The following is a 14,064-nucleotide window of genomic DNA, read 5'->3' on the forward strand; positions in this document are numbered from 1 at the left end:
ATTTATTTATTTTTGAGATGGAGTCTTGCTCTGTCGCCCAGGCTGGAGTGCAGTGGCGCAATCTCGGCTCACTGCAAGTTCTGCCTCCCGGGTTCACACCATTCTCCAGCTTCAGCCTCCCGAGTAGCTGGGATCACAGGTGTGCACCACCACACCCAGCTAATTTTTGTATTTTCACGGAGATGAGGTTTCACCGTGTTGGCCAGGCTTATCTCAAACTCCTGACCTCAGGTGATCTGCCTGCCTCCGCCTCCCAAAGTGCTGGGATTACAGGCATGAGCCACCACGCCCGGCCTACCTGGCTAATGTTTAAATTTTTTGCAGAGATGTGTTCTGCCGGGAAAAAAAAAAAAGACACACCTTTACGTTGCCCAGGCTGGTTTCAAACTCCTGACCTGAAGTCATCCTTCCACTCAGCTTCCCAAAGTGCTGGGATTATAGGCACGAGCCGCTGTGTACTTGCCATCGTGGGGGGATTTTATATCCCAGACACCCAGAACTGCCCCTTAGCTTCTGTTTTTTTTTTTTGTTGTTGTTTTTTTTTTTTAGACACAGTCTTGCCCTGCACGTCAGGCTGGAGTGCAGTGGTGCCACCTCGGCTCACTGCAACCTCTGCTTCCCCGGTTCAAGCAATTCTCCTGCCTCAGCCTCCCAAGTAGCTGGGATCACAGGTGTGCACCACCACACCCAGCTAATTTTTGTATTTTCACAGAGATGAGGTTTCACCGTGTTGGCCAGGCTTGTCTCAAACTCCTGACCTCAGGTGATCTGCCTGCCTCCGCCTCCCAAAGTGTTGGGATTACAGGCGTGAGCCACTGCGCCCAGCCTGAAAGCATCATCTTTTCTTTTTTCCTTCCATAGCATTTCTCACCTTCTAACACACCCTGCCACATACCTACTTGTCACTGTATTCCACGGGCTCTGAGATGCCGTCAAATATAAGATGCACCTTTGGGTCAGGCACGGTGACTCACGCCTGTAATCCCAGCACTTTGGGAGGCCAAGGTGGGTGGATCACCTGAGGTTGGGAGTTCGAGACCAGCCTGACCAACATGGAGAAACCCCGTCTCTACTAAAACTACAAAATTAGCCGGGCATGGTGGCGCATGCCTGTAATCCCAGCTACTCGGGAGGTTGAGGCAGGAGAATTGCTTGAACCCGGGAGGCGGAGCTTGCAGTGAGCCGAGATTGCGCCACTGCACTCCAGCCTGGGCGACAGAGTGAGATTCTGTCTCAGAAAAAAAAAAAAAAAAACCATAAAAAATTTAAAAAACGTTTTCAATTGCTATCTCATTTCATCATCACCATCATCACGTTGTACAGATGGGGAAACTGAGGCCCCCAAAGGGACAGAGGGTTTTTCAAAGCCACCGATCAAGTCTGAAATCGACTCCCCTGTCCTGAGGTTTGTCTCCGCCCTGCAGCCTCCATCCCCCAGTTCCAAATCAGGGCACCCCGGACATTCCAGGACTGGCTTCACCCTGACATCGAGCTCTGGCCGAGCTCCCTCGTTTGGTGAAAATCTAATCACGCCAGCCTGAATGCTGACATCGAAATGACTGCCGAGCCCTTGACTCGGGGTAATTAGGAGCATTTTGGGATGCCTTGCTTGATTAAAAGCAGATCACCCGTTCAGAATGAAAATTCAGGAGGCAGATTGCTTTTGTTGTTGCCACGATGCTATTTTAAACCCACGCAGCTCTCCAGCTAATAAAGACCCGTCAATCGGCTGTCGGGGTGTTCAGGACGAACTGTCTGCAGGGTTCCCCCACTGCTGTTTACCACAGCACCACAGCCCAGAGGGACCCCTGTCAGGACATCAGAGCCAGCAGGGTGCAGGTTGACCTCAGTGTCACTCCCAAACCTCTCAGGGTTACTCCCCGTGTCTGCCTGGTCCCTGAACCAGAAAGTCAGATGTCGACCTGGTCTCTTCTCGCCCTCATCCCCTCCCCAGATCCTATCCCACCTGTCCCCAGGACCCCCTCCTGCCCGGATTCCAGTTCCTGGCTCCTCCCTGGCCTCTAGCCTCCCATCCGTCCTCCCCAGAAAGCTCCTTTTTTTTTTTTTTTTGAGACAGGGTCTCGTTCTGTCACCCATGCTGGAGTGCAGTGGCAAGATCTTGACTCACTGCAGCCTCGACCTCCTGGGCTCAGGTGATCCTCACACCTCAGCCTCCAGAGTAGCTGGGACCATAGGTGCATGTGCCACCATGCCTCATTTTTGTACCTTTTTGTATAGACAGGGTTTCACTATGTTGCCCAGGCTGGTCTCGAACTCCTGGGCTCAAGTGAGCCTCCTGCCTCAGCCTCCCAAAGTGCTGGGATTACAGGTGTGAGCCATCGCACCCAGCCCCAAGAAGGCTCCTTCTAAGGTTTGCTCAGCCTCCCTGTGCTTTGACTTCACCCAATGAACCACTTCTTATTCTTCCAGACTCAGTCACCTCCTCTGACCTCCAGGCTGGCCCAGAGACCCCCTCTTTTCTCTAATCACCCAGGTCGGAACCACCCTTTCCTGGGTCCGCCTCCTGCCTGGACTGTGAGCCATGTGTGGATGGGGTCAGGTCTGTGGTGCTCACTGATGGTTCTCCAGAGCCCAGCACAGGTTCGGGCACCAGGAAAGGGAGGTAAATATTGATGAATGTGGGTCCGGGCATGGTGGCTCACGCCTGTAATCCCAGCACTTTGGGAGGCCGAGGCGGGCAGATCACTTGAGGTCAGGAGTTCAAGACCAGCCTGGCCAATATAGCGAAACCCCATCTCTACTAAAAACACAAAAATTAGCCAGGCTTGGTGGCATGCACCTGTAATCCCAGCTACTCGGGAGGCTGAGACAGGAGAATCACTTGAGCCCAGGAGGCGGAGGTTGCACTGAGCTGAGATCGCGCCACTGCACTCCAGCCTGGGCAACAGAGACTCCAGTAAAAAAAATAAATAAATAAAAATAAAAATACTGATGAATGAAGGAATGAATGCATGCATGCATTGGGGTGGGAGGTACTAGGAACACCCTGGATCTCAAGGTATCGGGACCTCAAATGGCCCATCTCTCTGCCCTGAAGCACCCCCTTCTGCCAGTCTAGGTCCTGACCTGCACCCCAGCCAGGGGGAGGGACAGAGGCCTCCCTCAGAGACTCAGCCTTCAGCTCATGATTTCCCCAGCAGAGGAAGGGACAGGACAGCCCCTTAGCCTGACCCCTTCCCCACCCCAACCCCCAAAGACACCAATATGTCCACATCACATAGATGCAGGCATTCTGTCCGACCCCAGGAACAGATAATCCAATGCCGGGGAGAGGATGGGGGTGGGCTCCAGGGCTGGGCTCCCTGTTTTTCAGGGGCCAGTGGCTGGGCATGGAGTTGGACGACAGAGAAGGCCCTGGAGGCCAAGGGAAAGGATTCCAGCAGAAGATGCGGGGGAGGGCTGCAGTGGGAAGTCTGTCCTGTAGTCTAACCTTGGGCCGGGGAGTGATGTAACACAGCGGTTCTCCTTGTGGGTGATTCTGCCCCCCAAGGGACACTTGACCATGTCTGGGGGTATTTGTGCTTGTCACCTCTCCGTAGCGGGGGTGTGCTGCTGGTATCCAATGGGTGGAGGCCAGCGATGCTGTGGCACAACCTAAAACGCACAGGACACTCCCCACCTCAGAGAGTAACACAGCCCCAGATATCAGCCATGCCATCCGGGCGCGGTGGCTCACGCCTGTAATCCCAACACTTTGGGTGGCTGAGGTGGGAGGATGGCTTGAGCCCAGGAGTTTGCGACCAGCCTAGGCAACATGGTGAAACCACATCTCTACAAAAGGAAAAAAGTACAAAAAATTAGCTGGGTGTGGTGGTGCATGCCTGTGGTCCCAGCTACTCGGGAGGCTGAGGCAGGAGAATCGCTTGAACCCAGGAGGCGGAGGTTGCAGTGAGCTGAGATCATGCCACTGTACTCCAGCCTGGGCCACAGAGTGAGCCTCCATCTCAAAAAGAAAAAAGGCCGAAGGGGAGAGCATCTAATGTCAGCTAACACTTAGGGACACCCACTCTGGCCCAGGCTTTTCTGGGGGCTGCTTGACCACCCTAACTTCCCGTGAGGTGTGCATGAACATCATTCCATTTCCAGATGTGGAAAACCGAGGCCCACAGCAGCAAAGCCACAGCCCCAAGGTCGCACGGTGTGTTTGAAGGTCAGCCACACGGGGGCAAGGAATTTTGTTTCTGGCTAATTCACTGCTGGGTCCTTGGGGTCCTAGAATCAGGCCTGGCACATAGCAGGTGCTCAGGAAACACTGAATGAATGAATGAATGAATGAATGAATGAATGAATAGCAGAGCTGGGATTCAGACCCAAGCTGGTGGATGCCAGAGCCCCCCACTCGCAGCCCTGGGCTCGGAGGGGGGGACTTCTGCTGCCCTTTATGTCCCTGCAACCCCCTGGACTGCTGAGCCCCACGGGCCAGGCGCTGTCAGGATCCTGGAGGCCGCAGCTGATGTTTAAAGTCCCTATTGTGGTTCCTGAAAAAGGAGCAGGTGTTGGCAGCTTGGCTTCGCCAAGGAGGCCCTGCGGCCGGCGCCTTTGTCCCTTGAGCTGGTAAAATCCTCTGCTCGGCCGCTCCATTCAACCCACTCAATTCCACGTTCCACTTTCACCCCCGTCCACATTCTTCGCCTGCAAATCCCCCATTCTGAGCGGCTGGGCCCAAAAGGCGGGCGTCTTTGTTCGTCTTTTCTTGTCCTCCTCTGCCCGTTAATCTAATCGCTTCCTCTCTGAGATGCGGGAGGAAGGAGAAGGGAGGGAGGAAAATAAACAAATACTGAGGGTAAAAGAAAAGATTCGCCGAGGTTTCCATTGAAGGGGATTTCGCCTGCCACTTTGAGATATTGACAAAGGCTGGTGGGGGGCGAGGGGAGGCTTGCGGCGGGGAAGTCGGGCACTGGGCGGGTGGACCTGGCTCCCGGCGCTGCATTGAGATATTCAGAAAAACAAATTCATCTGGCCTGTCTTCCTGACAGTTTGACTGCCAGACACTGGTAAGTCCAGGCCAGGGGAGACAGCTGTCAACCATCCCGAGCTGAAGAGTTTGGGAAGGAAGGCAGAGACCAACGGGGCCCATTCCCCTCTCTCTCCCCGATTTGCTGTGTGACCTTGAGGGACATGCCTGCTGTCTCTGTGCCTTGTCACTAAGAAGCGGCCCTTTATGTCCCCACTTTGGAGGGATGGAGGATTCAGGGGTGCTCAGAGAGTGAAAGGTGTTTGCACAAGTTTACCCAATGCTGCCGAAGCAAACTCCTGGTTTAGGGCCCCTTCCCAGGACGAGGGAGGAGGGGAGAGGGCTAGAGGCTGGTCAGAGGGTCCAGATGGAGCTCAAAAGCCGTCAACCCAATGTCATCCCACAGGGATTCCCAGGTGACTGAGGGACCCTCTTCTGTCTGAGTCCTCGGCCTTTTCTGTATACTAATAATCTTGTTTTTCTTTTTCTTTTTTGAGATGGAGTCTCCCTCTGTCACCCAGGCTGAAGTGCAGTGGTGTGATCTCGGCTCACTGCAACCTCTGTCTCCTGGGTTCCAGCGATTCTCCTGCCTCAGCCTCCTGAGTAACTGGGCTTACAGGCACCTGCCACCACGCCTGGCTAATTTTTGTATTTTTAGTAGAGACAGGTTTTTGCCATGTTGGCCAGGCTGGTCTCAAATGCCTGGCCTCAAGTGATTTGCCTGCCTCGGACTCCCAAAGTGCTGGTGCTGGGATTACAGGCGTGAGCCACCACGTCCGGCCAAGACGCTATTTCTTTAAAAAAAAAAAAAAAATCAGCAGGTGTTGTGGTGTGTGCCTGTGGTACCAGTTACTCAGGAGGCTGAGGTGGGAGGATCACTTGAGCCTGGGAGGTCAAGACTGCAGTGAGCCATGATCGTGCTACTGCACTCCAGCCTAGGCAACAGAGTGAGACCTTGTCTCTATTTAAAAAAAAAAAAAATAGATGATGGCCAGGCACAGTAGCTCACTCCTGTAATACCAGCACTTTGGGAGGCCGAGGAGGGCTGATCTCTTGAGATCAGGAGTTTGAGACCAGCCTGGCCAACATAGTACAACCCCGTCTCTACTAAAACTACAAAAAAATTAGCCGGGCGTGGTGCCACACACCTGTAATCCCAGCTACTCAGGAGGCTGAGGCAGGAGAACAGCTTGAACCCCAGAGGCAGAGGTTGCAGTGAGCCGAGATCGCGCCACTGCACTCCAGCCTGGACAACAGGGCGAGACTCCATCTCAGAAAAAAAAAGAAAAAGAAAAAGGCCGGGTGCAGCAGCTGACGCCTGTAATCCCAGCACTTTGGGAGGCCGAGGTGGGCAGATCACCTGAGGTCAGGAGTTTGAGACCAGCCTGGCCAACATGGTGAAACCCCATCTCTACTAAAAATACAAAACTTAGCTGGGCGTGGTAGGGGGGTGGGCGTCTATAATCCCAGCTACTTGGGAGGCTGAGGCAGGAGAATCACTTGAACCCAGGAGGCAGAGGTTGCAGTAAGCCGAAATCACGCCATTGCACTCCAGCCTGGGCGACAAGAGCAAGACTCGGACTTAAAAAAAAAAAAAAATGCATGAAAAGCCCAAGGTTTGGTGCATAAAGAGATGGCAGAAATCAAAGTCTCAGAGATTTCGTGCAAAACTTGCCCCCAAAGGATCCTGCAATCCCACCCCTAGGCTTTTATTTTCTTTGATGATACACGTGCCTGTGTCCCTGGGTGGGGAATCTTGCTATTGTTAGGAAATGAAACGCCACCGCCTGAGCTTGATTGCGTTCTTCCCACCCCCGCTGCCCAGGATCCACTCACAATGGGGGACGGGGGACGTGGGGGGCACGGAAGCCCCAACACGGGAGGTGGAATTAATCACAGCACCATACATGGGAGGTGCCTCAATTGTTGCAATCTATGTAATGAGAGAAAAACAAAAATGACTGCTTCCCTGAGGAATTAGAGGGAGGCGTTTTCCATTAGGGTTTTGTTGATGAAAAAGGACACGATTAGAGAAAATCCTGTTGTTGGCAGGGCCCTGGTCCCGGGTTCGAGCCAGAGAGGGGCACTCCAAGGAAACGGTGTCTGGGGCCGGGAGCAGGGCTCACGCCTATAATTCCAGCACTTTGGGGGGCCGAGACGGGCGGATCACAAGGTTAGGAGTTTGAGAACAGCCTGGCCAACATAGTGAAATGCTGTCTCTACCAAAAATACAAAAATTAGCCAGGCGTGGTGGCGGGCGCCTGTAGTCCCAGCTACTCGAGAGGTTGAGGCAGGAGAATCTCTTGAACCTGGGAGGCAGAGGTTGCAGTGAGCTGAGATCGCGCCACTGCACTCCAGCCTGGGTGACAGAGCAAGACTCTGCCTCAAAAATAAATAAATACAAAAATACAAAAATTAGCTGGGCACGGTGGCTCACACCTGTAATCCCAGCACTTTGGGAGGTGGAGGCAGGCGGATCACTTGAGGTCAGGAGTTTGAGACTAGCCTGGCCAACATGGCGAAACCCCATCTCTACTGAAAATATAAAAATTAGTAGGGTGTGCTGGCACACACCTGTAATCCCAGCTACTCAGGAGGCTGAGTAGAATTGCTTGAACATGGGAGGTGGAGGTTGCAGTGAGCCAAGGTTGCGCCATTGCACTCCACCCTGGGTGACAGAGCGAGACTCTGTCTCCAATAAATAAATAAATAAAATAAAATAAGCAAACCCTTGCTGTTGTGGAAGAAGATGGAGCCAGGATCAAACAGGCTGAAAAATAGGGTGATAGAGCTGTCTGGGAGGTGCACAGGGCAAGAGGGATCATAGAAGGCTTCCTGGAGGAGGCGGCTCTGCAAAGACAGCGGAAGGAAGAGTTAGAAGAAGGAGCCAAGAGAAGAGATGTGGGGGAATGTTTTAAGCAGAGGTGGCAGCCTGGAGGTGAAACTGTGTGTGACTCCCTCAGGCAATCGGGGGGTACAGGAGAGAGGCTGGGAGACCAGGGAGGAGATCTGGGGTGGGAGTGGGGGACTAGCATTGGGGCAGAACTGGGAGGGGACAGATGGGAGGGAGGGCCTGGAGGTAGAGCAGGCAGGATGTGGGGACAGACAGGCTGTGATGGAGAGGGGAGAAGCTGGACAGAAGCCAGTGTCCAGGTCTCCAGTTCAGGGATGGGGGCCCAGTGGGACCACCGCTGAGATGGGGACCTAAGAGAAAGAGCCAGCTGAGGGGAGAGGCCGAGGCCAGGGTGGCCACTGAGGGTGGAAGTCCTGAAGGATGTTCAGGGGGGAACCCCAGGGTGATGGCTGGGCTCGCAGGAGGGACACTGAGCTACAGTCAGAGCTCTAGCATCCATGCAGCACTGCCGTTCCCTCTGCCCAGAACACCCTTCCCCATGCTCCACCTGACTACACTGTCCTCTCCCTCCAGGTCTCAACCTGGAAGGCACCTCCACCTTGGAGCCCCCCTGGGCTGTACATCCCCCATGACAGCCCCACTGTCACTGCCCGGTCACCGCGAGCTCTGTAGTGGTGGGGCTGCCTCCATCTCGTCTCTGCTGTGTCCCTAGCACACAGTCAGCACCCTAGGCCTGTCTGTTACCAGAGCAAACACATCTGTCATTTTCACCATCATGTACCCAGCACCCATCACGGCCCTTTGGTAACTCTCGCCAGTCATCTCATCTCACATGGCTCTTTGAGGGGCCACCACACAGAGGGAATCGCCAGAGGCCGGCCTTTCACATGCAAGTGAGAACCGGGCTGTTTCCAACTGCCCAGGTCCCAGAAGAAATAAAAAAAAGGAAGAAATGGGCCAGGCGTGGTGGCTCACACTTGTAATCCCAGCACTTTGGGAGGCCGAGGCAGGAGGATCACCTAAGGTCAAGAGTTCGAGACCAGCCTGGCCAACATGGTGAAACCTTGTCTCTACTAAAAATACAAAAATTAGCCGGACATGGTGGCGGGCACCTGTAATCCCAACTACTTGGGAGACTGAGGCAGGAGAATAGCTTGAATCCAGGAGGCAGAGGTTGCAGTGAGCCAAGATCGTACCACAGCACTCCAGCCTGGGTAACAGAGTGAGACTCCGCCTCAAAAAAAAAAAAAACAAAAAAACCCACAAAATCACGAAAGTAGGTGATGAAGTCAGGAAACTCAGAAGTGTTATTTAAGCTTAGGAAATCAGGAGGGCTTCCTGGAGGAGATGATATTGGAGGTGAGAGAATCAAAAGTTGAGATGGAGCTGGCCAGGTGGATACCTGGAGCAAGAGCACTCCAGGCAGAAGGCACAGCCCGTGCAAAGGCCCTGGGGCAGGACTGCGCCTGGGGTGTTGGAGGAACAGCGAAGAGGCCTGTGTGGCTGGAGTGGAGTGAGCAATGGGAGAGAAGGAGGAGGGAGGTCAGGGCAGGGACAGGCGTGCAGGGCCTGTGGGCCTTGGAGAGAACTTGGGCTTTGACCCCCAAGGGAGATGGTTGCCATGGAGGGTCTCCATAAACCTCTTCCTCCTGAGTCTCTGCGACTGTAGCTCCCACCACCTCATGTGGAGAGAACCTCAAAAGGAGACCTTTGATGCTCTCCGGGAAGATGAGATGATCCTCACCCCCGACGTAGCCCTGGCCATGGCTCCTCCTTCTTGAGCAAGTCCCAGCCTGGTCCCAGGTGGCTCAACTCACTGCTGCCCAGAACCCCAGCATGGCTGCCTCATCCTCAGCAGAATCAAGTCCCCACATCCCCACACTTGTCAGGCTTCTGCCCCACACATGAAGAGCTCCAACCAAAACCATTTAGGTCTGCCCCTCCCACCCCTATCGTTGTCTCCACCATCTCCCACCTGCCAGGGTTGGGGTGGGGGCTCCGGGAGAGAAGCCACGTGCCCTTGGTTTCCCCATCCAAGGCATGGCCACATCCGTCCCTGAAGGAGTTAAGGGTACAGGAACCGTAGTGGCCATCACTGTATCTGAAATTCCAGCATTAGGGCTCCATCCCTGCAGACCTTGTAGAAATCACTAGTGGAGTTGCTTATTCACTCAACAAACACCGACCCAGTGCCCACTTTCAGATAAGTCTAAACCAGGTGCAGCCCCAGCCCTGGGCTGACTGCAGCCGAGTCCCGGACCTGACCTGATCCTAACCATGGACTGAACCCAAATCCTGGCTGAGCTTGGACTGAATCTCAGACCCTGGGTTGAGCCAGGGTCAACCAGGGTCAGCCCCAACCGCAGACTGAGCTCCAGACTTGGACTAACCCTGCCTGAGCCCTGCTGACCCTGGCCTGAGCCCTAATATCGACAGAGCCCCAACCCCAGGCTGAGCCCCAATCCCAGCCCGAGCCCTAATATCGACAGAGCCCCAACCCCAGGCTGAGCCCCAATCCCAGCCCGAGCCCTAATATCGACAGAGCCCCAACCCCAGGCTGAGCCCCAATCCCAGCCCGAGCCCTAATATCGACAGAGCCCCAACCCCAGGCTGAGCCCCAATCCCAGCCCGAGCCCTAATATCGACAGAGCCCCAACCCCAGGCTGAGCCCCAATCCCAGCCCGAGCCCTAATATCGACAGAGCCCCAACCCCAGGCTGAGCCCCAATCCCAGCCCGAGCCCTAATATCGACAGAGCCCCAACCCCAGGCTGAGACCCAATCCCAGCCCGAGCCCTAATATCGACAGAGCCCCAACCCCAGGCTGAGACCCAATCCCAGCCCGAGCCCTAATATCGACAGAGCCCCAACCCCAGGCTGAGCCCCAATCCCAGCCTGAGCCCTAATATCAACAGAGCCCCAACCCCAGGCTGAGCCCCAATCCCAGCCTGAGCCCTGACTCTCGGCTGAGACTGTAGACACTGCCTGACTCTGAGTGTCAGATTCTTTTACCGCCCCTGGAGGAGGCTGAATCCCTCCCAGCTCGGCTACCTCTAAATCCTAAAGCCCACCCGGTAGCCTCAGCTGCACTGACCCACGCTGGCTCAGCCAGATCCAGAAGGTGGGAGGGTCTTGCCCCCCTTGCTCCCCTCAGAGACCCCAGGACTGGAAGTTTCCCAGTGGCCCAGCAGTGAGAGTGAGCGGGTTAAGGCCCCGGCTACAGTGGGTGGGCCTCAAATGCTCTAGCCTGGGAGGCCCTGCCAGGCGCTCCATCTCCTGCCCAGCGGGGGCCGCATTAGCCGCTCAAAACCCATTCGGGGAAATTAGAGCAGAGGCCTCTGCGACAATCACGGGTCATTCTCGTCTCCTGTTCCCAGGCTCTCCCGCAGCGATGACAGCCCAGCAATGGGGCTGGGGGGTGGGGACACAGGGAGATTGGGGGATCCCAGCCGGCCGGCTCAGGCTGAAGCCTTCTCCAAGTCAGCCAGGGAAAGAAAACTGTAATCACTGCGGGCTTTAAAGACATCACTTCTGTGCTCCAGTGCTTTCCATAGCTTCCAGCTGACAAAGATGTCCAAATGGTTCAATCCAACAAGCAACAGTGAGGTCATGGCAGCACCAGGGGAGAAGCCCATTCTGCCAGCTCTCCATCTTTCTGCCCACAGTGTGTGCATTTTACGAATGTCCTCCAGCCTCGGCAGGTCAGGAGGCAAAGTAGGTCAGGTTTACATTTAATTCAGAAATGAGGTGGACTTCAGGAATGGTTTGATCCAGCATTTTCAAGTGGTCTTCAAGAATCAAGGTTCAGCAGTACGCGGTGCCTCATGCCTGTAATCCCAGCACTTTGGGAGGCCAAGGCAGGTAGATCACCTGAGGTCAAAAGTTCAAGACCAGCCTAGCCAACATGGCAAAACCCCATCTCTACTAAAAATACAAAAATTAGCTGGGTGTGAGGGTGCTTGCTTGTCATCCCAGCTACTCAGGAGGCTGAGGCAGGAGAATCACTTGAACCCGGGAGACGGAGGTTGCAATGAGCCGAGATCACACCACTACACTCCAGCCTGGGTGACAGAGCAAGACTTTGTCTCAAAAAAAAAAAATAAAAAAATTAATTAAATAAATAATAAAAATTAGCTGGGCATGGTGGCAGGTGTCTGTAATCCCAGTCACTTGGGAGGCTGAGGCAGGAGAATCACTTTAACCCAGGAGGCAGAGGTTGCAGTGAGCAGAGATCGCACCATTGCACTCAAGGTTCAGCAGGGCTTGGTGGCTCATACCTGTAATCCCAGCACTGTGGGAGGCCATGACAGGAGGATTCCTTGAGCCCAGGAGTTCAAGATCAGCCTGGGCAATAGAGTGAGACCTCGTCTCTATAAAAACAACTTTGTTTAATATTAGCTGAGCGTGGTGGCACACGCCTGTAGCCCCAGCTACTTGGGAGGCTGAGGTGGGAGGATTGCTTGAGGCCGGGAAGTGGAGGTTGCAGTGAGACAAGACTGCACCACTGCACACCAGCCTGGGCAACAGAGTGAGACCCAGTCTCAAAAATAAATAAGTAAGTAAAAATAAGAATCAAGGTTCATTCTATCCTGAGAGATCTACTCCCAGCCTCTTCCCCAACATTCTGCAAGTTTTCCACCTCCAGGTTTTCACTCAAACAAGAGCCCTCACCTGACTGGCTGTTCCATGCCCACAGGTAGCACAGCAGTGCAGTTCCTGAAAAGGGGGTCAGGAAGCTGGCTACTACCCAAGCCAGGAATTCTCTGCCCTTTTCCAGGGGTAAGTTTCCCCACCTAGAAAATGAGAGGATTGGAATCCAGGATTCTTAGAATGTCTTTCAGCTCTAAGTCTCGGTGAATCAGAAGCCCCCACAGTGGGTAGTTTTCGGGGATTAGTCCTCTGGTAGCCATTTTAGTCAACAGGCAATATCAGTGCGCATTTGCTATCAGCTGTGCTAGGGCCTCTGGACTGTGATAACCTCTAATCTTCACCTCCTGTGTGAAGTAGGTACTGCTCCATTTTACAGAATAAGAAACTGAGGCTCAGGCAGATCCAGCCTCCTGCTAAACATCACACAGCTGTTTGGTGGTAGAGCCAAAACGTAGCCCCCCATGCTACAGCACCTCTAGTCCTCCTGGCCAGGATTTCTGGGTCCAAATCTTCAATTCTGGCAATGAGAGGGAAGGTGGAAGGAGGCTTTTTTCTCCCATGAATGCATCTCCAGGTTTGTCATGAAGGCAGTGGACTCAGTTTACTTCCTGGAACTCCCCCTTCCCCTGCAGGGTCTCCCACATTGCTGACAAATGCACCTCCTTCTTTCACAGATGTGGAAACTAGGGCTCATAAAGGAAAAGTGAGTCTCCTAAAGTCTTACTGCCAGGCAATGCAATGGTGTCTTCATCAGTCTGGATGGACTGCTACAGTAACAAAGAACCTCTTGGAGCCAGCCTCCAAGATGGCCCCAATGAGCCTTTGCCTCCTGGTATTCATGACCTTGTGGGGTCTCCTCCTCCACTGAATCGGGGCTGACTCGTGAGGCATATAAAAGTGACAGTGAGTGACTTCTAAGGCTGAGCCTTATATAAAAGGCACTTCAACTTCCTCCTTGGATCAACCCCTCTAGGAATGAGCCAGCAGCCATGTTGGAAGAACACTCAAGCAGTGCTATGGAAAATTCTGCATACAAAAGTGAAGGACAGGCTGGGTGTAGTGGCTCACACCTGTAATCCTAGCACTTTAGGAGGCCAAGGCAGATGGATCACTTGAGGCCAGAAGTTCAAGACCAGCCTGGCCAACATGGTGAAACCCTGTCTCTACTAAAAATACAAAAATTAGCCAGCTGTGGTGGCAAGCACCTGTAATCCCAGGTACTCCAGAGGCTGAGGCAGGAGAATTGCTTGAACCTGGGAGGTGGAGGTTGCAGTGAGCCAAGATGGTGACACTGCACTCCAGCCTCGGTAACATATTGAGAAAGAGGAAAGAAAGAAAGAGAGAGAGAGAGAAAGAAAGAAAGTAAGAAAGGAAGAGAGAAAGAGGGAGAGAGAGAGAGAAAGAGGGAGAGAGCGAGAGAAAGGGAGAAAGAAAGAGAAAGAAAGAGAGAAAGAGGGAGAGGGAGAGAAAGGGAGAGAGAAAGGGAAGGAGAAAGAAAGAGAAAGAAAGAAAGAGAGAAAGGGAGAAAGAGAGAAAGGAACTCCTACCCACAGCCATGTGGATGAGCTTGGAAGCAGCTCTTCCAGC

General features: G+C 53.8%; 1 annotated feature.

The window, feature by feature from the left end:
* Window positions 10,738-11,570: an enhancer, noted in NCBI's record as "OCT4-NANOG-H3K4me1 hESC enhancer chr19:5498934-5499766 (GRCh37/hg19 assembly coordinates)". NCBI's record gives its function as "activates a minimal SCP1, AML or CMV promoter by ChIP-STARR-seq in naive and primed H9 embryonic stem cells {active_cell/tissue: H9 hESC(naive and primed)}" and the evidence as "EXISTENCE:reporter gene assay evidence [ECO:0000049][PMID:30033119]".

This window comes from Homo sapiens, chromosome 19 (assembly GCF_000001405.40).
Source record: "Homo sapiens chromosome 19, GRCh38.p14 Primary Assembly".
Lineage (NCBI taxonomy): Eukaryota > Metazoa > Chordata > Mammalia > Primates > Hominidae > Homo > Homo sapiens.